The sequence below is a fragment of the Homo sapiens genome, chromosome 9 (assembly GCF_000001405.40).
Source record: "Homo sapiens chromosome 9, GRCh38.p14 Primary Assembly".
NCBI classification, from domain to species: domain Eukaryota; kingdom Metazoa; phylum Chordata; class Mammalia; order Primates; family Hominidae; genus Homo; species Homo sapiens.
Genome location: NC_000009.12, coordinates 116,335,707 through 116,361,396, shown reverse-complemented (window position 1 = coordinate 116,361,396; position 25,690 = coordinate 116,335,707). Strand labels below are relative to the sequence as shown.

Below are 25,690 nucleotides of genomic sequence, written 5' to 3'. Positions count from 1 at the left end.
CCAACTTAAGTAGTTTAGACTTTACCGAACAGAAATGGAGAATCACAGGTGGTTTCTGTGCAGGGGGCCCATATTGTGAAGGATCTAAGAACAAGCTATATATTCTCTACCCCTTTCAGGCTTATAATAAGATGAGAAACTTGACATGAGGCCAGAGGAGCTGGCTGTGCTCCACCAATGCAAAAATTTATGCAATGGCTTCCTGTGACCTTCAGCTTCCATGCAAACTCCTGTGCTGGCTCCAGAGCCCTCCCAGCCTTAATTCTGCCTAATTCTCCAGTTTCTTGCTCTCCAGAGCACCACCACCAACCTTGAACTTCAGTTTAAATTGCCTGCATTTGTGAAGGCATCGTATGTTGTGCTTTCATGCTCACTGCTCCTTCTGTCTGCTATTGTTTCCTACCCACCCTTGTCTACCTTGCAAATACCTTATCTGGCACAACCCATCCTGCTCTCCTGCCATCTCAATTCTGCATGGGGCACTACCTGAATGTCTCTGACAGGACATTACCTATTTGTTTATCATCTGTTTTGCAACCAGACAATGAGCTCCTCAAGGCCCAGGCTGGTGCCCTATTCAACCTTGTATCCTCAGGGTTTTCCACAATGCCTAAAAGGTCCAGGCCACTCAGTGCATTCATTCATCACTTAATAGATATTTTTGCTCATTCAAGAATTGTTTGTTTACGAAAAGATGGGGTGAATTGGTGGAGAGTGATAGAATGTATTTCTTTAAGAAATAAGAAAATAAATGAACACACAGATGAGGAAATAAATGCACAAGTGAGTAAATGAAGAAAAGAATGAATGAGGGAATAAATTATGAATGAATGTATGAGAAAATGAATAAACTCCTTAAAAGAACTGATGTAGGCTGAGGCTCCCCTATGTGAGAAAACAGCTGCAGATAGACAAGATTCAGAAGAGAAAGGGGCCCCTTTCCAGGCCTCTCCTTTGCCGGCAAAAGGAGGGTACAATTGCAATGGAAACCTCTCTGGCCTTGGGAGAAGGGTGGCCCATCCTGAGCATGCAGCTGCAAGGCGGCTTGCAGAGTTCACTCCCAGAGGTTCTGTAGGGGCTCGTGGCAAACTTACGCAGCTTCATGTGGCTTCAAAGAGCCCAGACTCTCCTTCTCAGAGCCCCAGGCTCTAGGCCCCATGATTCTCCTGGGCCCTCTGGGGAGTAGGAAATTGACCCCAATTTCCTGGAGCCTTGGCCTGGGCCTGTGATGCATTTGGATTCCAACCCCTAAAGGGCTGCAGACCTCAGCACTACTTGGGCCAGGGCTGGCTGGAGAGCTTGGTTTGTAACAGAGAATGTATTAGAAGTAGCCGGAGTCTGCTCATGGAGTTTCACACTGGGGAGGCCCCACCATGAATGAAAGGTGGGAGCATAAAGCACTGGTTTTGTTATCATTGGTTTATCTCTCTCCTGCCCAGTTCATCTGGCACTTTGTGTTGCAAAATTTGCTTTTAAAAATATATAGCATCCTTTTGCTAAGACACTTTAGCCTTCAGAACAAGGCATACTGGTAGGTTGGCACTTCAGGGCTTCTACAATGGAATCCAGATGACATTTCTAGCTCCATCTCTTGCTATGTATGTATCCTTCCTGCTAGACAAATGAATCACTTTGTTTCTCCTGCAAACTTTTCTTGCTTTCCCACCTCCACATCTTTGCCCTTGCTGTGCCCTCTGCATGCAGACTTTCTGGAGCCTCTTTGGATTTTTAAATCCTTCTTTAAGACTAGATGCTAGTGCATTCAGAAATTGCCTACCACCTGGTGCAGAAATTCATAGTCAATTATTGCTGACTGAGTCTGGTTTGACCAGAGAAGATCTGGCATCACTGAAGCTCCAACCTGGGAAGACCAGAGGGTACTTTTTCTAGGTGTTGTCAGGGAACTGACTGGGTATGTTTGACTCCAGTTGTACAATTCTTCATGCTAAGGTGAAATCTCTTATAAGAGGGCTGAAAATCTCTCAGCAAAACAGTTTGCCTCTCTGTGCCTGTGCATCTGTTTTTACAAGCGCATATTGAGCTCTAACTCCCCTGCTGCTTTAGCTACACAGATCCACGGAGAGCTGAAGGCATATAATAATATTATCAAACACCTATAACATGCCCAGTGCTTTAAAAATCACTTGAACAATACAGTAGAGTAGAAATTATATTATTTTTGCAGACTTGGAAACTGACTCTGTTAGAAAGTGAAAAAGTGAGTTTTCAAATGATGCTAGTGTCATGGTTAAGAGCCTGGGTGTAAGTCAAACTGCCTGAATTCAAATGCAAGCTTGGCAACTTCCCAGCTGGGTAGATTTGGGGATGCTCTTTAACTTCTCTATGCCTCAAGTTCCCTGACTGCTAAATGGGCATGGAGTCTACTACCTGAGAGAGTGATCATGAGGATCATGTGAGTCCAATTATATAAAGCATTTAAAGCCTAACACATACTGAGCTCTGTAATCGTCAGATGAGGTTCTTACTCACTTTGCTGTACTGTCTCTAAGAGAAGTTTAGAATCAACCCAACCAACAGTACATTTTGGAACTGACAGCAGCCAGAAAGGGGAGGCAATGTGCCCAAGTCACAAAGGTTGCCAATGTCAGAACCATGTCTCTTGACTGTAAGCTGTTGTACCCCAGTGGGATGAAGGGAAAGAAGAGAAGAGGAAGGAAGAGGGAGAAGCAGTAGACTTCTTCTCCTTAGAAGACATGAAAATAAACAAAATAATAGCGGAAAGAAATGTAGTGGCATCCGAGCAAGACAAAACCAGGCAGTGAGTGCAGGAGCTAGATGGCTAAGCTTTGGAGGCATGCTGACTTAAAAACAAGAGTGTCAGTTCCACCATGTCTGGTTGTATAAAACAGGGCAAACCAGTTTACACCAGCTTCCCCATCTGTAAAATGGGGCAATAATGCCAGATGCCATGGGGCTTAAATGAAGCAATCAATCTAACGTGCTCATCTCAGTGGCTGGCATGTAGTAAGTGCTCATTATTTCAACTGCTGTGAATCATTTGTCTCTGTTCCCAGTCAATGCCCTCACATGCATTTTGTGTCTTCCAAGGTTGGTACAGGGGTGACATGTTGCCCCACAAGGGAGGATGAGTGGAAAGTGTGAATTGCAAAGTGACGTAGTTTAAGAACTGGCTCTGCTTGTATGACTCAGGATAAGTCTCTTTCCCTTTCTGGGGTTTAGGGCTCCCATCAGTAAAACAAGCAAGCTACAGTGGGGGTCTCTGAGGTCCTGCCTAGCTCTAACATCACATGGGTCTGTGACTCTTCTGAATTCCTCTAGGACATCCTGGGTGCTTGGCCAAACATTTAACAACCCGGAAATGAAAACCTAGCTGAGGCACTGCACATATGTGAGCTGTACCTTGTCCATGGCAGGGCTCACAAATGGAGAGTGCAGCTCTACACCCCTTATGGCAGAAAGGCTTTCACAGCCACCTTCTGTGATCTGTGCAATGAGCTGGGTGTGTTGAAGATTCCACCGCTCCCTTTCTCTCTTGCTCCTGCTGAGTTGCTGAAATCCATCATTAGGTGCATCACTTTGCCCACAAAGCACCTCTAGCTTTTGTCCTCCCCTGCTGATGCATCTTCCAAAGACCCCGTCCCCATCCCAAGACTGGCCACTCCCTGACTCACCTATAAAGCCCCCACAGGCCTATGTTATCTCATCAACTAGCTCAGGGCCATCTGAGCTGGATTAAATCCTGAGATGAGTAGCTTCTCACCCCCTGGGGATAAAATCTCTGCCCTTCACTACTGGTCTGGCCTGAAGATGTTTGGGAGCAGTGGAAAGAGCAGAGCTAGAGATCAGAAAGAACATCACCTGCTCTCTTGTCACCATGGGCAAGAACTTACCCTCCCCGGGCCTTCTTTCTGCATCTGTAAAATGGGGATTTTGTTTCTTTTCCAGCTGTATGTTGTGAGCTGTCAAAAGAGAGCAAGTCTGCAGCAGCAGCTTGGCACACATTTGACACTCAAAAACAAAGACAAAGAAAGCTGTTATTATTAAGGTTCTCTGTCATGGTTTAAAGAGACGAGAATACCGTAAGTGCTAGAGCTGGACTATCTGATATGGTAGCCACTGTATAAGTATGGCTATTTGCCTTCAACTTTGAATTACTTCAAATTAAATAAAAGTTAACATTTTGTTGCTCATTTGCTGCAACCATGTTTCAAGTGCTCCATAGCTACATTCAGCTAGTGGTCATCATTTGCCTGGCACAGATATGAATATTTTTATCATGGCAGAAAGTTCTACTGGAAAGTGCTGGTCTACAGGAACTAGAGGACTATTTATTCTACAGGTTTATTTGAGCAAGGGACCAGGTTTGACTAAAGCTCATGCTGGTCTCTCTACTCCACATCCTGGCCTCATGCAGGATGGGTGCCTCCTTCTCAGGTTTTGTTTTTATTTTGCTTTGTTTACTTTAAGTTCTGGGATACATGTGCAGAACGTGCAGGTTTGTTACATGGGTATACAGGTGCCATGGTGGTTTGCTGCACCTATCAAACTGTCATCTAGGTTTTAAGCCAAAAAGAGCCCATATAGCCAAGACAATCCTAAGCAAAAAGAACACAGCTGGAGGCATTCCACTACCTGACTTAAAACTACACTACAAGGCTACAGAAACCAAAACAGCATGGTACTGGTACCAAAACAGATATATAGACCAATGGAACAGAACAGAGTCCTCAGATATAACACCACACATGTACAACCATCTGATCTTTGACAAATCTGACAAAAACAAGAAATGGGGAAAAGATTCCCTATTTAATAAATGGTGCTGGGAAAACTGGCTAGCCATATGCAGAAAACAGAAAACTTCTCAGTTTTTAGAGCTAGCCAGCAGAGGGCTAGGTTGCAATCTGTTGTGTTTCTAGACCCTCCAGGAGCTCACATAGAGCATAAGGGATTCTCGCCACTGGAGTGACCTTAAAGCAGGCTAGTTCATTTGTGTATTCCCCAGGGCTACCACATATGATTGCACAGGTTGTGCACTGCACAAGGCCAGTGGGTACCCATAGACATGCTCTATTTTCATTACCTCATTTAACCTTCACAAACAAACTATTAGGTATGTAGTATTCTTTCTCCTCATTTTATACACAAGAAAAGTGAAGCTTAACGAGTTAAGTAACTTGGCCTCTAGTGACTAGGTAATAAAGCTGGGATTTGAACTCAAACTACAGATCCAGTGTCATACTGGCTCCCAAGGAATGAATAAAGTCAGGTTTTTATTTGCTTTTAGTGGCAGTGGAAGAGAGTGTGTGACTCTCCCCTACAACAGCCCCTATCCTTTCCCGCCAGGATCTGAAACTTGTTTGGAAAGCAAAGAATCCCTGCTCCATACAAGCTGATTCAAGATGCTCTGGGCCATGCATTTCTGCTATGTTTATAGGCAGCAAGAGGGAATCTGAGGTGAATACTAGATTTGGCTCTCAGGCCCTGATCTGAGGGTAGAGGAAATTCATTTTCAGTACAAAGTAGAAACGTCAATTGTATTAGGAGTCCATTTGGCACGCACACCCTCATTCTTTGAGCAGACAAGCAATACCCTGCTCCTTTGCGACTAGCCTCTCCGTTAGTTGCCAAACAGAGCTGCTTGAGTCGTCTGATACATTTACACTTTCCTCTCCTTTAAATACAAACTGGCCATGAAAGTTACTTGGAAGGCCCCAGGCAGGCTGAGTTTCAGTTTGATAACATGACCGCAGCCAGAATATTATTTGGCTCAGCAGTTTGGGTAACTGTTAGCAACAGTTTTATGTAAGGGAGTGAGGGGGAAGCTGATCAGCCTGCAAGAGGCCGTGGTAATCTCTAGCCTTTGTTTGTTCCGGTACTGGCTTCTGCCTCCCTGGCAGTCAAGGATGGGAATGACTCCCATGAATGCAAACAGACGCCGAGAGTGTATGAGAACAGGATTCTCAGGTGGTGCCTACTGGACTCAGCCCATTTACAGCTGGAGACAGGGGAACCTGGATTCTGACTGTGACTCAGCCGATGCCAGCTGTGTCACCATGGGGGGTTGAGTAACCTCTTTGAGTCTTGGTTTTCTCATCTGTAAAAGGAGGAACCTGCCTTTGATGTTCATTGCAGTCCTTCCTCCTGCCCTTAATTCCTGTGACATTTCCTGAGTACCTACTAGGTGCCTGGCACTGTCCTAAGTGCTGAGAGGCACAGGGAAGGGTGCAGATGCAGTGAAGGACTGTTTCACAGCCTAGTGTGGGGATGTGGAATGAAAGCAGGCAGTGACAACGCAGTGTGGCCAATGTTGTGAAGGGGGAACCTGAGGAGGGGCACGGAGCCCGGCAGTGGAAGGGATATTGAGGAAGGGCTCCTGCAGGAAAGGGTGCCTGGGCTAAATTGCGAAGGAAGATGAGGTGTCAGACAGCTGAAAAAGGTACAAGGATAACTCTTTTTAAGGTAGAGAATGCAGAGGTGTGGGGGGAAAATCCATCTTATTGGCATGGGGGAAGGGTCTTAAATGTCACCCTAAGGAGTTGGGACTTTATCCTAAGGGACGGGGGCTCCTGGTTCAGAGAGATTGACATAATTGCTCAAATCACTCTGGCTGAAATGTGAAGAATGTACTGGAAAGAGGCACAGGAATTAAAACAGGAAAATGATCACGAAGCTGCATGGTGGCTCATCAAAGAGTTGATGTTGGCCTGAGTGAGGGTAGTGGCATTGGGGACAAAAGAGAACAGCTTCAGGAGATGCTGTTGTGGGAGAATGGGTATGACTCAGTAATTGCTTGGATATGGAGGGAGTGAGAGGGATTCAGAATGGTGATTTGGCAGTGCCTGGTATCTGGAGGCTAACAATAAAGACCAATAAAGACTGATTGAAGACGACGCCTGCACTGAAATCTATCCCCACCTGGCTGATGATCCTTGCACACCTGTGAAACACAGGACTTGGGTTATCAACTCTGCATGGTTGCTTTGATGGAGATGGAGCTCCTTGTGGACTTAAGGTTTTTTCAGCCTTTTGTTCCTTTTTCCTATTCTTGATTCCCGTACCATCCTTTTGGGCATGTGTAGGATTTGAAGAAAATTCCTTCAGCAGAGGCAGGCAGGAGTGTTGGACTTGTTCTCAGTTACATGTGGATTGAGATAAAATTCAAACCTTGCTCCTTCTGCTCTTCCTTTCTTCCATGGTGTTCTCAAAACTGTACTTCTCATCTAAATATGGTCCCCTTTTTCCTTATGCTTCAGGAGCCAATTGATGTCTAAATATAGTTGCAGTCTTGTGATTTTAAATACTTCAAGGACCAACATGGGTGGTAATGGAGGTAGCAAACTGGGAAAAGAGCCCTGGTCATTTCCTGTTTGAGGAACTTAACTTTTATCAACTTCATACATTGGGATTCCATGTATGATTTCCTTCATAAAAGTTCCAATGCTTAAAAAAAAATTCAAAGCTAAGAATCTCTGAGCAAATCAAAAACAGTATTGCGGGTAGGAAAATGAGGATCAGAGATTACAAAAGTGCAGAAAGTGGTTCCTGAAGTACAGGCTAGTTTTTGGTAAGCAGAAAGGAAAGGGACCATGGTATCAATCTCAAGTTCCAGGAGGCTTACCTGGGAGGCATCACTGTCTTCACACTTGATCCTACACTCACTGTTGAACTGGAAGCCATTAGTACACTGGTAGAGCCCATGGAATTTTGGTGGAGGTGGGTCACAGGTCACAGGAACACAAGCTCCCTCCTGCCAGCTGCCATCCTGGGTACACTGAGTCTTGAAGGCCCGTCTTCAAGGAAAGGATCAAACAGGAGACATCTCAAGGACCAAATGGCTAGATCCATGCCCTGCATGAACACCACCAGCTGGGCCCCCATTTCCTATTTCCTAGTTTTGATTCCCCACCTGACCTATTGGGTTCTGGTGGGACCCGTGCAGGAATTAAGGATAATTCATCCACAGAACTCCTTTAGCAAGAGCAGGCAGAAATGTCATGCTTCCAGCTACATGTAGATTGAGACAAAACTCATGCCCTTCAGCCCCAGGTTCTCTCCCCTTTTTTGCAGAGTGTTCTGATGTGTGTTGGAACCATCATGTTATGATTACCCACCATTTACTGAACAACTACTACGTGCAAAGCATTTTGTGAGCACTTTACATGCACATCTTCATTTGTTCTTCATAACAACCTTACGTGGTAACTGTTATTATCATACCCCTCTTGTGGCTTAAAAAAAAAATGAAGTGCAGAGAAGTAAAGTCATTTGTCTGAGATCACATTGCCATTAGGCAGCCAAGCTGAAACTTAAAGTTTGTTCTGTTTGACCCAAAGCTAATATTATTAACAAATCCTTCTAGCTTCTCACAGAACAGAATGGGATGAATGGCAGTCATTACCTCCAGTGAAGAAATGAGTGCTTCCGTCCAGTCAGGCATTTGAACCTAACTCTTGTCCTCCCAGAGACCATAAGTTTGCATTTCCAACCCCACTTACTTCTTTGACTTCCGAGAGGATCCAGGCACATGGTATCCAGGCTTGCATTTGTATTTGCAGAAGGAGCCCACCTTGTGCTTATTCTCTCGGCACCGGGCGGTCTGGAGGTCTGCATTGGGCACAGGGGGTGGAGCGAGGCACATGAGCTCACACAGGGCCTCTGGGAAGGACCACAGCCCATCCTCCATGCAGGTCAGGAGGCTGTTGTTGCCTGGAAGACATAGGCAAGCAGGGTTAGAGGAGGGAGGAGTCTCTGATAGCCAAGCTAATGTATAGCTACTTGGATTTTAGCTGACTTGAAGAACCAGGAGATCCCTTATGTGGAATTCCAACCCCTTCTACTTCCAACTGAGGAGCCTAGGGAAATCAAGAGAGCTGCCACAAAGAAGAGGAGATCTAAATGGGGGGAGTGAATTACCCCCATGTCTACAGTGAATTAAAATCCAAGGCTTCTGACTTCTGATCCTGAGCCTCTTCTGCTGCATAGAAAAGACACACTCACAATCCTTGAATCCATTTTTCTTACTTTACAAATGGGCATCTGAGCACAGAGATGGAGGCACTTGCCTTCTAATACTTGGCAGCAAAAACTCCCACCAGAAACTACAGCAAATTCTGATATCAGTGAGTGCATGACCTCAAGCTGCCACTCTCCCCCTGGGCCCAGCACCCCTGTATCTGTCCTGCCTACCACCTCCCCCAGCTCCCACCACCAATGCCTGGAAGTGACAGCATTGTGTTAGGAGATTTGATTTTCTGTTCAGGTCCTGGTGCTCAGTGAAGCTTTGCCAAAGCAGGTGAAAGAGCAGCACTTCCCCCGTAGCCCATGCCAGCTCTGACAGAGTGCTGACTGCCATTGGGAAGCTGGTCTGATGGGGAACGTTGCAAATAAAAGTAAAACACGGGAGTTAGGCTTTTCACTGCCAGCTCATATATTATCGAGGCACAGCCCGCCTAAAACCTTCCCAAGACAACTAGAGGAGGACCTGAAACTTGTGTTTCTCCACCAAACTCTCCTTTTCCTGGTTATTACTGAATGGTGTTGACAATCAGGGCTGGAAACATGTCGGGGGCTCGGGGACTTGCAGGTTGGAGAGGTGGAGTGGTAGGGAGAAAACTGACATCTACTGGGCAGTTACTATGTACCGAGTGCTTCTGATATGCAATCTCATTTATTCTCACTATAAACAGTGCATTTAGTATGACAGTCTTTATTTGGAAATGAAGACTCAGAAAGAGGTGACTTGACCAAGTTATCATAGTTGGCAAAAGACAAAACTGAGGTTCAAAACAAATTCTGTCTAACTACAGAGATGGTTGTTTTTAATGGGAAGTTGGCTACTACGTATGATCAGCAGGGCCCTTATTATTCATTCCGGAGCCATCAAATCTCAATTTTTCTATCTGTGGAAAGCAAACAATTGCTTCTGCCTTTCAGGGTGCTGAGAAGATGAAATAAAACAACATTTATGAAAAGTGCCTATAAAAGTGTTGTCAATGTCTTCGTTTGCTTCTTAACTTCTTTCCTTCTTCCCTCCTTTCCTTTCTTCACTTCCCTGCTTCCTCCCACTTTCCTTCTTCTTTTCATCTTCATTAGTAGCTCTGAAAGAATCTTCACAGAAGTCTTCATTCATTCAACAAATATCTATTTAGTGCTTATTCTGCACCAGATACTTTTATATGTTGAAGGCAAAGCAGTGAACAAAATAAAACAAAACAAGATAGAAATAGCTCTGTTCTCTTGATGCTTATAATCTAGTGGGACAGGGAGGAGTACAATAAATTATCCTAAAAAGTATATTATTTAGTGTGCCAGAAGGTGCCAAGTACTATAAGAAAAAGCAGGAAAAGGAAGAAAGGGGAGAAAGTACTTTGCAATTTTATGTACGCTCCTCCACTTATCTTATTCCTTCTCATTTTTTTCATTTTTCTTCTTTGTCAGTATGATTCATCTGGTTAGCACAAGGCAGATTGGTGTCTGTAAACCCCATAGGGGATTCCACATTGACAAACTGTGAGACTGACAACTATATATATTTTAACATCAAGTAAAAAGAGTAAAGTGTGCAGAAAGGTGATTCATTTGGTTTCCATAGAAGCATAGAAGCGTCCAGAATACCAGTCAGTGTCTACAAACTTCTTTTTGCATTGCCCTTGTAATCGGGGCAGTCATTGCTTTGGGGTGCCCAGCTAATGCACAAGGTTAGTGGGAAGGGGAGCTGTATATAAAGTACAGGAAGCACACCCTCTCCAAATTGCCTAAGAGAGATAACATATCTGTGGAAAAGGTGTTGGGACTCTTAAAAAGTACATTGTATTAGCTATGTATATGGTAAATTATGAAGTGAAAGTCGTGGTTTTCTGTGACAAGAGAACATAAAGTTTCCAAAATGTTAATCAAGAGAGAAAATGCAAACCAGAAATGTGCTTTCTGGAAGAGGGTGAATAGAAGTTAGCAGTGCACCACAGCTAAAGCAGGCACTGGTGATTCAGGACCATGGATATGTCCCCCCACCCCTGCAACAAACTCCAAGAGAGTTTTCAACTGGGCAGTATTTCTGTGCACCAGCTGTAGCCACTACCCTGCATCTACAATGTGGCTTTGAAGAAAGTAGGGTATGATACATGATGTGCCCTTCGTTTGTCTTCTTGGCACTGGCCTGTATACTGTGAAAGATGCTTACTGCACTGCCAACTCTCTGCCTGAGGGCTATTATACTGCTCATGGATGCTTATTATACTGGTCATTGATGCTTACTCTGTCCATATGCAGGGTGAGTTTAAAGTACCAAGGAGTTAATGCCCCTGGAAGCACCACTAAACTAATGGTGGAGTTGTTGGATTCATGTGCCAGTTTCCAGAGTTGCAATAACTCGGAGGCATGTTCTCCACCGTCTCCCAGAGTTTCCCAGAGGGACTGAGCTCTAGTTGCCCACAGTGGCAACTTGCTTTAGAAGAGAGCCTGTTGACTTTTGTCAGTTCCATGTCTCCTGTCCTCATTCCCCCACCGTATTTCCTGGGGGAACATGACTCAAGACACGAAGTGAAGGCATGTCTGAGCCTGAAGTTCCTGGTAGAGGGTAACGTCTCTTCATAGAGGTGTTGATATTAGAGATTAGATTCCATCAAGTTTTGGGTCCGTCAAGTTTTGGGACCCTGTAAGTTCACTTGTTCATCTTTTAATGCAGAAAAATACATCCTGCCCAGCCTGTCTACAAATGTGGGTAAGGAAATTCCAATCTCTAATGAGCATTAAAACAATTGTCAACTTGTAGCAGTGTCAAAGGAGAGGTACTTATTTTTATTACTTCATTTAAAAGATTACCCAGGAGATCAAGTCTCTTTGGGAGTGCTGTAAAGATTAAAATTAACATAGAACAGAACTCAAGGAGAGAAATACTAGACCTTCAATCTGGTATTCTAAGCACTTGCCTCATGGTGTTGGCACTTTCTAGATCCTAAGGCAAGGGCTGTATCTTGTATATTCGTTACTCCCAGAGCCTAGCCTACTGCTGAGCGAATAGTAGGTCCTCGGTATCCATTTGTTGAATGCATAAAGTATGAATTTATCTGTGACCTTGAACAAATCACCTAACTTGTTTGTCCCTAAACCAAAGCTGTCTCTGAGTTCTTGTCCATCTCTAGCATGTTAGAATGTGAAAGAATATTGGCCACTATATTGTTTGGAGGAAACAAAAATGCACTAGCTGGACTGGAATAAGGACAATCACTCAATCAACTGGCTGCATTAGCCAAGGGCTGGTACGGGGGGATTGCAAGGAGCAGGGGGGTAGACTTGGTAAGGGGTAGACTTTAACGGAAGTACAGAGGAAGAAGACAGATTAAGAAGGACAAGAGGTACAAATAGAGGAGAGGGCCAGGTGGGGCAAAAACTGAGGGCAGAAAGGATTTCAAGCTGGTCATTATTATCATTATTATTTATTGCCTGTTTAAAATTAGTGCTTTTACTATTTCCAATAGTAAAGACATGGAATCAACCTAAATGCCTATCAATGATAGACTGAATAAAGAAAATGTGGTACATATACACCATGAAATACTATGTGGCCATAAAAAAGAATGAGATCATATCCTTTGCAGGAACATGGATGGAACTGGAGGCCATCATCCTTAGCAAACTAATGCAGGAACAAAAAAACAAATACTGCATCTTCTCACTTATAAATGAGAGCTAAATAATGAGAACACATGGACACATAGAGGAGAACAACTAACACTGGGGCCTATCACAGGGAAGAGGATGGGAGGAGGTAGGAGATCAGGAAAAATGGCTAAAGGGTATTAAGGCAGGCTTCATAACTGGGTGATAAAATAATCTGTACAATGAACCTCCATGACACAAATTTACCTATATAACAAACCTGCACATGTCCTCCTGAGCTTAAAATAAAAGTTTTTTTTAAAAAAACTGTTGTCCTTTTTGCTTAAACTATGTTATGATCAAAGGAAAAACAAAAGGTAGAAAGGAGAAAAGGGAAGCAAGTAAAAGAAGGAAAGTTGAAATTGATCACCTCTTTACCCCCTGGCTTGAGATGAGGGTGGGAGGGCAAATTAGGTGGCAATATCAAGTTCAAGAGAAAGGCAGCAGGACCTTTGCCCAGTCCTTGCTGCCAGTAGATCCAAGCAGAAGCCTCAGCACAGTACTCTGAACACTAGATGATGCTGACAACCAAGTTGCATGAAGTGGCAATTGGTCCTAGTTGATCAATATGGAAATAGAGAGATATTTCCCTGTATGGTCAAAGGAAAAGCAAAGTTGGGATCACCAACTGTCAAAATGATGGTCCTCCTAAGGCCTTGTCTCCCCAGCCAGGTCACACTTCCCCAACAACAGTTGGCAGTGGAAGGATCTGCATCATTTTGATTAAGTATTATTATTAGCCACAATGAGGTCTGTAATAATCAATGTTAATTTATACACCTCCCTTTCCCAAAAGCCTCTGATTGATTGAGAGAAGTATGATTTCCTAGTCTGGAGTTATTAACACATTCCACATCTAGTCCCAGCATTCTAGGACACCCAGGCCAGCTACTCACTTTTTTCTAAAATGTGACCTCTTCTCTGGTATGCCAGTGTCTTTTTCCCCTCAATAGCCCTGGTGCCTAGCTCAGGAGGATGCCAGATGCTTCCTGTCCATATCTGCTCTTCTCTGCCCAGCTGGCCCCTCTTAATGAGTGGCAGCCAGCATTGGAGAACAACAGACCTGGGTTTCAATATGGTCCCCACCACTGATGGTGCAGCCTTGGGCAAGTTCTTTAAACCCTCTGAGGCTTGGTTTCCTCATCTGTGAAATGGGAATAATAGTAACGCTTACCTCATAAGGCTTACTGGCCCTAATCATACAGAGTGAATTAGTTTCATCAGTCCCAAATGTAACTTTTTTTTCTTTTTCTCTCTTCCTTCTTCCCTCCCTTCTTCACTTTTATCCTCTCTTTCTTTTCTTTTTTGCAAGATTTCCAAGGTCTTGGAAAGGGCTTCACTGTCATAATTATCCATACACTCTTTTTTCTTTCTTATCTGCATAGCAGGGCAGTTTACATAAATACAATTAGTAGGAAGAAGTCAGGAGCATAGATAAAACCCATCCCACCCTTGGTGTTTGAGACCCAGAAAGAGGGCCTGGATGCAGCTTCTAGGTTTCCCATAGACAAAGGAAGGCTGAGCTGGGGAAGGCGTTCTTGATACCTTTCAATTGTGCAGGGTGACGGCACTGGAAGGAACATTGACTGCCAAAGGTGGTGCCCTCAGGGCAGGAGAAGGAGGCAGCATAGACTTGATGGTGATCTGGGATGCTGCAGTCGACTGGCTCACAGGCCACCTGCTTATTCCACTTGCCCTCTGTACAGGTCACTGTGACGCTGGGTCCCGTCTGAAAGGCAGAGTCGTGCATAGTGAGGAGTGGCAGACTGAGCTCTAGATGTGGAGAAATACCCTTCTTCCCAAGGTGACGGCTCAGAGTCTCGCCCAGGCACTAGGAGACCAATGCTTAGTGTTTAACGTTAGCTCACTTTTAATGATCCCAATAACTCCATGAATTACATATTTCAGATCTCAAAGACACAGAGACTGAGACTCAGAGACATTACATGATCAGCCTTAAGTTAACCAGCTGGGAAAAGGATAAGTTGGACTTGAGTCCAAAGGCTATGCTCTTAACTGCTGTCTATAGTGCCTCCCAGATCACGATTTCCATTTTATTGATGAGAATCTTGAGGTTTTGAGACCTCACAGGGCATGATGACTTCTTTCACAAAACAGACTGTGAAATACAGTTCAATGGTAGGACATCAAGTGTTGATTTGTATGTCTTTTATTAGCTCTAGAGGAGTTACTAGGAACTTGTTGTAGTGTTTGGCACACAGTAGGCACTCTCCATGGCTATAGGAGACCTCCATGTTTTTCCTCCATGTTATGAGACCACAGGCAAGTCCCTTTTCCTTACTTGAGTTCTCCCTTTGGCAAAATGGATGGATTGAACTCATGAACTGCTCAAAGATCCACTCCCTACTCTCAGATTTGGCGGCTCAATAGTCAAGAGAGAAGGGTACAAAGACAAAAAAAAGCCTAGGAAAAATGAAAGAGTAAATGGAGATTTGAACCAAACTACACGATGGTGGAGCTGGGTGGAGGGCAAGACCATGCTACGGAGTCAAGGGATGGACAATCATTGCAGCCTGGAGGCTTTCATTCAAGGAGGAAGCCGCTAAATCCTAGGGACTGGAGATGCCAAACGTTGATCTGGGATTTTAAAAGCAAAGGACATTTTCCCTCTTAAGCACACATCAAAGGGATGTGTGCTTGAGTGAGGTCCCTCACTGCCAAAACAGTCTAATTGTTTCTACAGGAGTTCAGGCCTGCCAAGTCTGACACACGGAAGTAGGTGTCTAAGAAGAGCAAGTCCAGAAGTTCTGTACAAATAGGCATTCCCAGCAGTAAGGAATGTGCCCTGTGTGCTTGCAGTTTGAAGGCAAAGTCCACTGACCAGCCCTGGAAAATGCTACATTTAGTGACAGAAATCCTCAAATCCCAGGACAACCTGTCCCACTCCCCCAAGCCCCACCTGGGACATTACAGCACCATCTTGCTGAAGCAACATTCTGTCACATCACTCCAAATCATTCACTACCACCAATCTCACGCAGGACACGTCCTATCTTCCATGACTCCTTTGATGACTGTCTGAGGGAGGGGGTCTCCCTGCTACCAGTCTTACTGCTAGACTCCAAGCTACACCCACATGGAGTATCTAGAAGAGACTTTGTCAACCAGGATCTGACCATGTCATTTCCTGCAACAGCTCCCTGTTGTCCTGAAGATCAACCCCACACTTCCTGACTAAATCAACAGGCCCTGCACCAGTGGATTCAGCTGGCCCTTCCAGCCTCATTGCTTGGGTGAGTACAGAAAAAGAAAACAAACAAACAAAAAAATCTGTGGCATGTTTTTTTTTTTTTTTTTCTCATCAATGTGCTTCCACATACTATCCATGCCTGTGCCTACTACATATATTTCTTCCTTCTCCCCAACACACACCCCTTTGCTGATCTGTCTAGTTAGCTGTTTCCATGTCACTTTTCCAAGGCACCTCCCTTGAATCTCTCTGTGCCTCCACAACACCCTACAATTCCCTTGACAGCATTTATCACACAGTGGGGTCATCATTAATGAGTTGTCTGACTCTTCCTCCACCACTAGGCACTAAGCTCCTTCAGAAGAAGGACTCGATTTGTCTTAATGGCTTCTTTTTCTTTAGTACTTACTATAGCATCCAATTTCCAGTGAACAGATGCTTTGCAATGAATTAGTGAATGAATGAGCATCTCATTGACAGAGGGCTCACCTTGTCATAAAGCAGCCCATTCAATTATGTTCTCACTGTAAGATATTCATTCCAAAATACTCAGCCCCATGGTCTTGGAGATTTGCAACCTACACAAAAACATTGGTAAGTATTGTGTGGAACACTACTCTGCACAGGAACCCTTTTTCTTAGAGATTCCAGACTGCTTGCTTGGTTAATTGATTCATTCATGCATTCATTTAATCAATAAATATTTATTGAGCACCTACTATGTGGCAGCACTATTTTAAGTGCTGCTGGGTATTTAGCAGAGAACATGGTTAACACCCAGTAAGCCTTCCCTGGGCTGCAGAGAGGCTCTGAGCTCAGCACCTGCACATACCTGGCTCTTGATCAGCTCATCATCCCGCCGTATCTGGAGCACGTAGCCTGTCCGGCAGCTCACAGTACACTGGGCACCGTGGTAGCGGTCGCTGCTGGAGCAATTGAGAGAAGCATTCTCCACAGCCAGCTCTGGACAGTCAGTTTTCTCACATGCGAAGTGCACGCAGCTGGGGAGGAAAGAAACGAGGGGAAGAAGGAGTCTCCTCACAGGACAGCTATGCTCAGTTGGAAGATAAAGGCTAAGAGCCTCTTTCTCCAAGATTTCAGGGGGCTTGAGACTGAGGACAGAAAGGGGTGCTGGCTAGGGTGAAGATGACTCTAGAGGCAGCGATTAAAGTTTCTCATTAAGAGCACAAGTTATGGCAACAGACAAACCAGAGTTCAAATCTTGCCACTTGAAAGCTTTGTATGTTATCAAGATTTAAACCTTGAATAGCCTCAGTTTTTCCATTTGTGAGAAAGGGATCATCATGATTACAGTGAATATTTATTGCATTTTTCTACCAGGCACCAGGTTGAGCAAAAGCCTTTTTCTATTTTGTGAGTACCCACTTACAAGGATCATTTTGAGAATTAAATCAGTTTAGAAAAAAACGCATAGCAGAACTCCTGGCATATACTAAGCACTCAGTAAATGGTAGCTGGGCTGGGCGCGGTGGCTCATGCCTGTAATCCCAGCACTTTCGGAGCCTGAGATGGGCAGATCACGAGGTCAGGAGTTTGAGACCAGGCTGACCAACATGGTAAAACCCCACCTCTGCTAAAAAAGAAAATACAAAAAATTAGCTGGGCGTGGTGGCAGGCGCCTGTAATCCCAGCTACTCAGGAGGTTGAGGCAGGAGAATAGCTTGAACCTGGGAGGTGGAGGTTGCAGTGAGCTGAGATTGCGCCATTGCACTCCAGCCTGGGCAACAAGAGTGAAACTCCATCTCTAAATAAATAAATAAATAAATAAATAAATAAATAAAAATAAGTGGTAGCTGATGTTGTAAATATACCTATGCTCTATTACCTAGTTGGCAAAGTACATCACATCTCTGAGCTTCGGTATACTCTTAAATTTGGCCAACCTCATATAGCCACGAGACTCAACTGAGGTGATGGAGGTAGAAGTCTTTTATAAACTGTAAGATAACTTACACATCATTAGTGGAGTTGTACAGAGACTATGTCTTGCATCTTGCTGCAACTCTGAATTCTACCTTTCTGCCAGTCTGAATTCCACCCGTTCTTTAGGTCTAAGCATCATGCAAATTTCCATAGGAAGCTTTCTCTTGTGTCCCTCGGCAAGCACCCTCATGGGTATTCTACCCTTCTTTCTATAATGCTGTTGCCTCATGTTTGATGTATTAAAAACTCAGTTCCTCAGTGCCAGTGGAACATAACAGATTGCAGGCTAATCTTTAAGGATGCAAACAGAAACAGCATGAAATCCTCATTCTTGGATGATCATTCCCCTTGTATTATAGTTAGGCAAGCACTCAATAACATTAGTTACTATTTGCTGATTGCTTATATACATGAGCTCACTCCATCCTTACAACAACCCTATGAGCTAAGCGTTACTCATTTTACAGTTGGGTAAATTGGGGACTGGCAAGATTAGGTTACTTGTTTAAGTGCCCATCCAGAGGGGTGACTCCAAAGGCCTTGTTGTTAACCTTGTCCCATGTTTCTGGACTAGAACGTCCTTGAGGGCAGAGAAAATGCCTATTTCATCTTGGTGTACTTTGCAGTGCCAATAAAAATTCCTTGCAGATGTTTCCTAAATGGCAGGAAACCAATGGTGATGATGCCTTGCAATAGCTCTTAAACACTTTAAAGAGGTTGATTCTGCCTAACAGTAAAAGCTTCTAGGGGGCAGTTTTCTCTGACTTTTGCCTCTCTGACTGTGTCTACCCCCAACACCTGGCCTATCGTATGCACCGATGATTTACATCTAGAACCTCAAGGCTTTTATGTTCCTATTTTTATCTAGGAGACAGGGAGACATTTTGGCCAAACCAGTGTCAGAAAAGTTTTGCACTTTTTTTTTGTCGTTGTTTTTGTTTTTTGTTTTTTGTTTTCTCTCAGTTTCACGATACCCAACTGAGGGTTTTACTGGGATCTATTCCTATTCTCTACCCTCTGCTCAAAAGTATAGTGAGAAATAAAGTCTGGAGGCGGGGGGAGCTAAAAGCTTCCAAAGCATATCACAAACCAATTTACTTTTTTAAAGACCCAGAAAGGACAAGCATTTAATTTAGGTCTCAGACCCTCACTGATGGGAGCTTTGCAGTTCTCCAATACTCTCCTTCTGAAATGCAGGGCAACTGGCATTAAGGAACACTTGTTGAGACAACTCCAATTCTCTGCCCTTTTTCTTACTCCTGACAGCCTCAGCATTGTACCATGTGGAGACCTCAAAGAGACTGTAACTGTGGAGTCAACACAAGGGCTTTGACACTAAACAATGCATCTGTTCACATTGTGTAAGCACCAGGGGAAGGAACCACATGGTTCCAATTTAAATATATTTACTCTGTAAGCTACTAGCTCCCAAGCTGTTCTGACCTGTGCCTAACAGTTTGGGCATTCTTACTCTGCACGCTCAGAAGGTACCTGGGCTCTTATGAAGACCCAGAGGGAAAGATGACTTTCTTCTTTAAGTTGCAGAGCCATTAAAGTATAAATAGTGCCCTCCCCAATTATTTTGTGCACATTAAGTTCTTCTTCACAGGAAAATGAAGATCTGAAATGCTTCGTTTTCTGGGGTAGAAGGAGCACAAGGTTTACCAATCAGGGAAATCTGGGCTCCAGCCCCTGCTCTGCCATTTATCAGTTGTCTGACTTTGGAAACTTATATAACATCCTGAGGTTCAGTTTCTTTATCTGTAAAGTGGAAGTAATAAAATAATTTGTTTCTTAGGATTGTCAACAGGGTGAGACATCATCCACTGATTCGTCTATTCAACAGACCTTCACTGGGGGCTTTACTGAGCACCAGACATTGTTCTATACATTGGGAATATAGTGGACGGAGGGGATAAACAAGATGCCTGTTATCCTGTGTATTTCAGGAGGGAGGGTGTGTGCCAAAGAAAAGTAATACATGAGATCATTTCAGATAATGATGCATGCAGTTAGGCCGTTAAACCAAGGTGAAATTATAGTGACAGTTGGTGGAAAGGGGCAAGGCACTTTGTATAGAAGGATCCATGAGGAAGGGACATCTAAACTACTACCTGGGTAAAATGAAGGGATAAGCCATACACAGGTTTGGGGCAGAGGTATAATCAGGCAGAGGGAAGAGCAGGTATAAAATTCCAGCACAGGATGGAGCTTGGTGTGTTTGTAGACTAGTAAGGCCAATATATGAGAAATGCTTTGAGGTCGGGTGTGGTGGCTCACACCTGTAATCTCAGCACTTTGGGAGCTGAGGCAGATAGATCACTTGAGGTCAGGAGTTCAAGACCAGCCTGGCCACCATGGTGCATCCCTGTCTCTAGTAAAAATAAAAAAATTAGCTGGGAGCGGTGGTGCACACCTATAATCCCAGCTACTTGGGAGGCTGAAGCACAAGAATCACTTGAATCTGGAGGGCAGAGGTTGCAGTGAGACAAGATTACACCACTGTACTCCAGCCTGGGAAACAGAGTGAGACTGTGTATCAAAATAAATAAATAAATAAATAAATAAAACAAAAAAATAAAAATAAAAAAAGAGAGGGCAAGAGAGAGAGAAAGAGCGAGAGAAATGCTTCTGGAACTATGAAGCTCCTTGAGAAGATGAGTCTCTCTACTCTGTCTCTTTTTGCTATAAAAGAAAAAATGGTCCTTGGTCCCATGAATCACCTGATCAAAAGATTTCGTGGTCAGATCAGTAGGGGTAGCATTGAGTTAATGAAACCAGTTAGTTTTCTTAGTTGCAGGACTTCTCAATAATTTGGATAACCCATTGAAAATTTCCAGAAGGGGCTAAGGTACACATTGTTTTTTAAACTCTGATAACATTTTTTTTTCATGGGACATTTCTTAGGACTACTGCCTTCCAGAATACACTTCAGGGATTGAGGCATCTTGCTTTTTCAGCACATCTGTCTGCACCTGGCCTGCAGGCTTGAAAACAGGAAGAAAAGGGATAAGGGAGGTAATATGTGTCAGGCATTGGCCACTCTGTTTCACCTACATCACCTTATTTGCATTCCACACAGCAACTCCTTGAGGTAGTGATATTAGTCCCATTTTCAAGAACAGGAAACTAGGACTAAGAGTTTTAAATTGCTTGCCCAAGGGCACTCAGCTTGGAAAGAATTCTAATAGAGATCTGCCAGTCTGTCCCCTAAGTCCCTGCTCTTTTTTCTTTGCTATCCTGTTAGTTGGACAAGGTTGTGTGAACACACTGTCCAAAAATGATAAACATTACCCTAACTGACCGTCTCAAATAACTCTGTGATACAGCCCTGTCATTTCTGAAACACAAAAACAAAAAACAAAACAAGGAAAACAAAATAAAAGGCTCTGCTGCTTCATTCAAAAAAAGAGGGAAGGATTTAATAACAGTGATGGGCAGTCAATAAAAATAACAAAAGAAGGAAAAAAATGAAGACACTTCTTTGAAGGGAGAAAGGTGGCTGATTGGATGGATGAGCGGGAAAGAATGCAGGTAATTCTATAGATCAAATTCTCAAACCTGGGCAAAAGTGGAGGTCCCTGGGGTGCAGAGCTGATCAGATACTTAAATAACGTTTTTCTTTTCTTCTTATCTATATGTTTAATATATTTACCTTTGGACTCAAATTCCATGTAGAGGTAAAACCTTATCTGATCCAATAGCCAATCCCCCCACTGCTGTCTCCATTGTCAATAAGAATGGATTCCAGTCACACATAACAGAGGATAGCTGGAGAGTGCTGGAACCCGGATAAAGCCAGAAGTTAAAGGGCTGACAAGGGTCCCTCTCCTGGTTCTGTTCCTTGACTCACGGTGTAACTGCTGTGCCCTGCCACTTAGCTGCAATTATGCCACAGGGAAGCAGAGATAAAAACAGAAAGGCTGTTTATAAATCATTCTGGGTTGCTCAGATGGGGACAACAAAAAAGACAAGTGCTCCACACTAGAAAATGGAGGGAAAACTGTTCTTGGCATCAATTCTGCAAGTTCACTTAGGAAGTGAAACAGTGAAAGAGCTACTATGCTAGGACCTCATTTTTCTACCCAGAAATGAGGCACCTGGGGGAATGATCCTAAAAGGTTCTTTACCCTGGATTTCTAGGCGCCAGTGTATTGTGGTGTGGTATGGAGGCAAGTTTTGAAGATTAGGTGATGCAAGCTCAGTAGCCTGCAGGGTTCAAGCGAGCTGAGTGGGGTGTGTCGAGGAGAGGGTATGTGCCTGGCCAAAGAGCAGAGCGCTTTGCTCTAGTCCAAGGTTGCCTAGTAGGATGGAGGGCCTGATGTTTTCAAAGCTTCTCATTTCTTTAAAGAGTTCCAAGAAGAATTCTGTTTTTTAATATGAACTCTCCTGATATTTAAATGTTGGCAACTAATTAAAGGAGATAACTAATAAAGGCCAAAGAGAGATTGTTTATGGACTAATATGGTCTATGGAACACCAGCCTTGAAACCTCTGATGGAGAGGAAAGATAACTGGATTCCTGAGAACTAGATTCCAGTGCTGGTTTTGCCCCCAACTTGTTAGGTGATTTTAGGCGAGTCACTTGTCTTGCTTAGAACTTAGATTTCCCATCCTCAAATGAGGGCACAGAACCAGGAAATCTTTCAGAGCCTTCCCCGCTTTTAGGCCTCATGATTTTATGAGAACAAAACAACAGAGGTCTATAATTTCAGAGCCCTTTGAAATGAGAAAAATAGGAAAAAGTTGTCTTGGTAATCTCAAGCACTGCCAAGGATACGGAGCAACTGGAACTCTGGTAGATCACTGATGGGGCTGTGAATTGGACAATATTTTGGAGAAGAGTCAGGCAGTATTTGGCATAGTCAAAGACACACACATGCTTAGGCACAGCAGTTCCATTTGTAGTTATATTCCCCAGACTAGTGATTCCCAATCAATGTGCTGAGAGGCACTAATTCCTTTGTGGGTTGGGGAAGTTGAATGAGGTTATGGCAGCGATCTGAGCAATCTGTGGTCTCTGGCCAAGAGCAGCTTCATTCTGTGTTCCAAATCCTACCTATGAATCCCTGTGTCATTACCTAATGAGATATTCTACACATGGGGTCTCATCAGGGCACAGACTCTAGAAATACTTGGCTCCAGTCTTTGGGCACCCCCACCCCCAACCAACAAACAACAGTCTAAGTTCTCCCTGGCTGAAAGAGTTAATCTAGCCATGTGAAGAACTTGTTGCCCCCCAAAGTTGGCCTTTTAAAACTTAGCTCTCAATCAGAACTGTCTCTCTCTGAATGGACCAGCTTGTAGAAATGGGGAAGAGTTTGAGATAAAGGAAGAAAGCGAATGTGAAAAAGAGTGAGAGGAAGAAAGGAAGCATGAAAGGAAAGAAGAATAAATGGAGGGAGGAGGGAAGGAAGTTACTTTTCTAAATACATGGTCCATTCAATTTTATAATAAACTGTTCAATTTCTGTTAAGAACCACAACGTGGATGAACATGATGTATGTGCATGTATGTGTGTGTGACAGATACTGGAGCCTCAATATCACCACTGTAGTTTTTCTCATTAAAGAAGCCTATTAACCACCCCACACCCCATCACTATCCTTCCCTCCCCACCTTTTCTCCTTTCCACAACTTGGTGTGGGGCTGAGATTTGGCTAGAATTGCACAACTGGACCTCTCCTTTGAAACCTGATCCTGTTTTCTTGGGTCTCTGAATTTATACCAAGTACTGCAAAGAGACTGGAGACCCCTGAAGCTAGAGTGGAACACATTGCCCAAACTGGTTTTGCTACAGGACTCCTCCCAAGGCAGCACAGTAGGCATCACACTGCTCTCAGGAGAGACAGAAAATGAGGAAGAGAAAGGAGGTAAGAGAAGGTGGGGGGCGGGGGAGAGAGAGAGAGAGGAGATGGAGAGGTGGGAGAAAAGGGAGAGGAGAGAGAGGGAGAGATGCAGGAAAAAGAGGAAAGGTTGTGGAGGGAGGAGAGAAGGGGAGGGGAGAAACAGTACTTTTCACTACCTGGGAAACAGCTGAGAGTAAAGTGGGATGTTTCTCCTACAACCAGTTGAAATTTGTGTTATAAAAAGTGATGCTATTTATTTTGGTGTTTTGAGAATGAAGGAAAACATCCCATGGTTCTTTACAGTTGTTGCTTATTTTTCTTTCCTTTCCTCCCTTGTTTGTTTGTTTTAATGCATTTGCATGTTTGCAGAGTCCTGCTTGTTTTGGTAAATGCCTCTTTAGCTCCCCATGAACAGCTGCTGTCCTTTCCCCACTGGGGCACTCAGGAGGAGGTGCTCCTGCCCTGCAGCCTCAGCCCTCAAGATTCAGCCTGTCATAGCCTGATCCAAGCTCAGGGATAAGGCAGCCAAAGACCTCAGAGCTGCAGCTCCATCCCCTTACTCAGAGTTCCTCTGAATAAATCATCACATGGGTCCAGTTATGAAAATTCCTTCTCTGCTACTCGTGCCTTGCTGTGGTAGGCAGAGCACGGCTTTCAGGGACAGACAAAGCAGGATTTTGCCTCTTACTGCCTGAATGGTCATGACTCACTCACTCTGTTTCTCTGAGCCATACCTCGCAGAAGAGGTGCAATAATAAAATAAGATACTGTTCCTATCTATTCAAGAGGTGCAATAATAAAATAAGATAATGTTCCTTTCTATTAAGGGCTCAACAAGGGTTTGTCCCTTCCTGTCCTCTCTCATGTTTCCTAACTGTTGAGAAACACAGATTTAGAACTGAAAAGAACCTCAGAGAATCCACACAATCCACCATCATCATTTTAAAGATGGGGAAACTGAGGCCCAGAGAAGGGGAATGACTAATCCAAGGTCAAATAATTAGTCAGATATAGGGCAGCATTTTGCCCTCATTCAATGTTCCTCCTACAACCAAAGAACTAACAAATACGTATCAATCGATATGTTTCAGTGGTTAAATATTTCCTACTATTTACTTAGGGCACAGACACCATTCGTCGAGAATTCAAACAAGTCAGTCTGGGCCTCAGTCAACTTATGGATGGTCAGGAAGGCTGGTTAAAAATGGGAAAGTGTTGTGGAAAAGGTCTAGTGGATTTCCATTGACATGGTTTCCCTAGGCTCTGAGAATTAACTTATTTTTATAGGGTCTGGAGAACAAGGGCTTGTGGAAAACATCCTCTTAGAGTGAAATAAGACAATGAATTATATTTAAGAAGCTCTTGCCTCTGAAAGATTACGACAGACTTTGCACAACAGAAGCTAGAGACAGTGGGTACTAAACAATGTGGATTTTGCAACCACCTTTTGTGTCCTCTGTGGTAACAGGGGCGTGGGAAAGGCTAGTGTCCCCCTCTTCTCTTTTTTTTTTCTTGCCCCCAGGTATACAGGGCAAGGCTGAATCGACTTTCAGAGAGCCTCACTCTTGGGTAGCCTACAAAAATCACAACTCTCTCTTCTTCTGGACCTCATGAAACAAATCTGAGAGACGCTGTGCAACTCTGCGCAAGTTCTTCCCTTTCTGGGCCCTGTGATTCTACATGGTAACACAGAAGTTTGGACATGTCAGATGCATGAGATAATCTCTGAAGCTTTTTCCAGCTCTAACTTTAAGAACTTTACAAAAAATTCTGTGCACAGAAGCAGCACCATCATCATCAAAAGATGGTTATAAATATTCTTCTTTAATATGTTATGTTTGCATAGTGCCTAACAGTCTGCAGGAATACTTTTATCTATAGTGCAACATGTAACCCTCACAACCACCCTGTGGAGTAGATTTCATCTGCTTATTCCAAAATAGAAAACTATGACCCAGAAAACTGAAGTGACTTGCCCAAGAACACCCATTCAAGAAGTGGTAATGTGGAGGTTCAAACCCAAGTAAGAGTATTCCCAAAGCTC

The 25,690-nt window shown here is 43.8% G+C and overlaps 1 protein-coding gene and 1 long non-coding RNA gene across 4 annotated transcripts in view, besides 1 other annotated feature; one reads left to right on the top strand and one right to left on the bottom strand.

The window, feature by feature from the left end:
• The window catches only part of PAPPA (pappalysin 1), a 248,531-nt gene that overhangs the window by 40,925 nt on the left and 181,916 nt on the right, over positions 1-25,690 (bottom strand). For all 3 annotated transcript variants that reach the window (NM_002581.5, XM_017014784.3, XM_006717129.4), the window contains 4 exons: positions 16,686-16,854; positions 14,188-14,371; positions 8,481-8,691; positions 7,604-7,775 (listed from right to left, as the gene is read on the bottom strand). In NM_002581.5, the coding sequence (NP_002572.2) occupies positions 7,604-7,775; positions 8,481-8,691; positions 14,188-14,371; positions 16,686-16,854 (736 nt within the window). The remainder of the gene's footprint in view (positions 1-7,603; positions 7,776-8,480; positions 8,692-14,187; positions 14,372-16,685; positions 16,855-25,690) is intronic.
• Positions 1-25,690, top strand: part of PAPPA-AS2 (PAPPA antisense RNA 2) — a 77,849-nt gene that overhangs the window by 2,280 nt on the left and 49,879 nt on the right. The window lies entirely within an intron of this gene.
• Positions 5,815-6,387: an enhancer, noted in NCBI's record as "OCT4-NANOG hESC enhancer chr9:119117289-119117861 (GRCh37/hg19 assembly coordinates)". NCBI's record gives its function as "activates a minimal SCP1, AML or CMV promoter by ChIP-STARR-seq in naive and primed H9 embryonic stem cells {active_cell/tissue: H9 hESC(naive and primed)}" and the evidence as "EXISTENCE:reporter gene assay evidence [ECO:0000049][PMID:30033119]".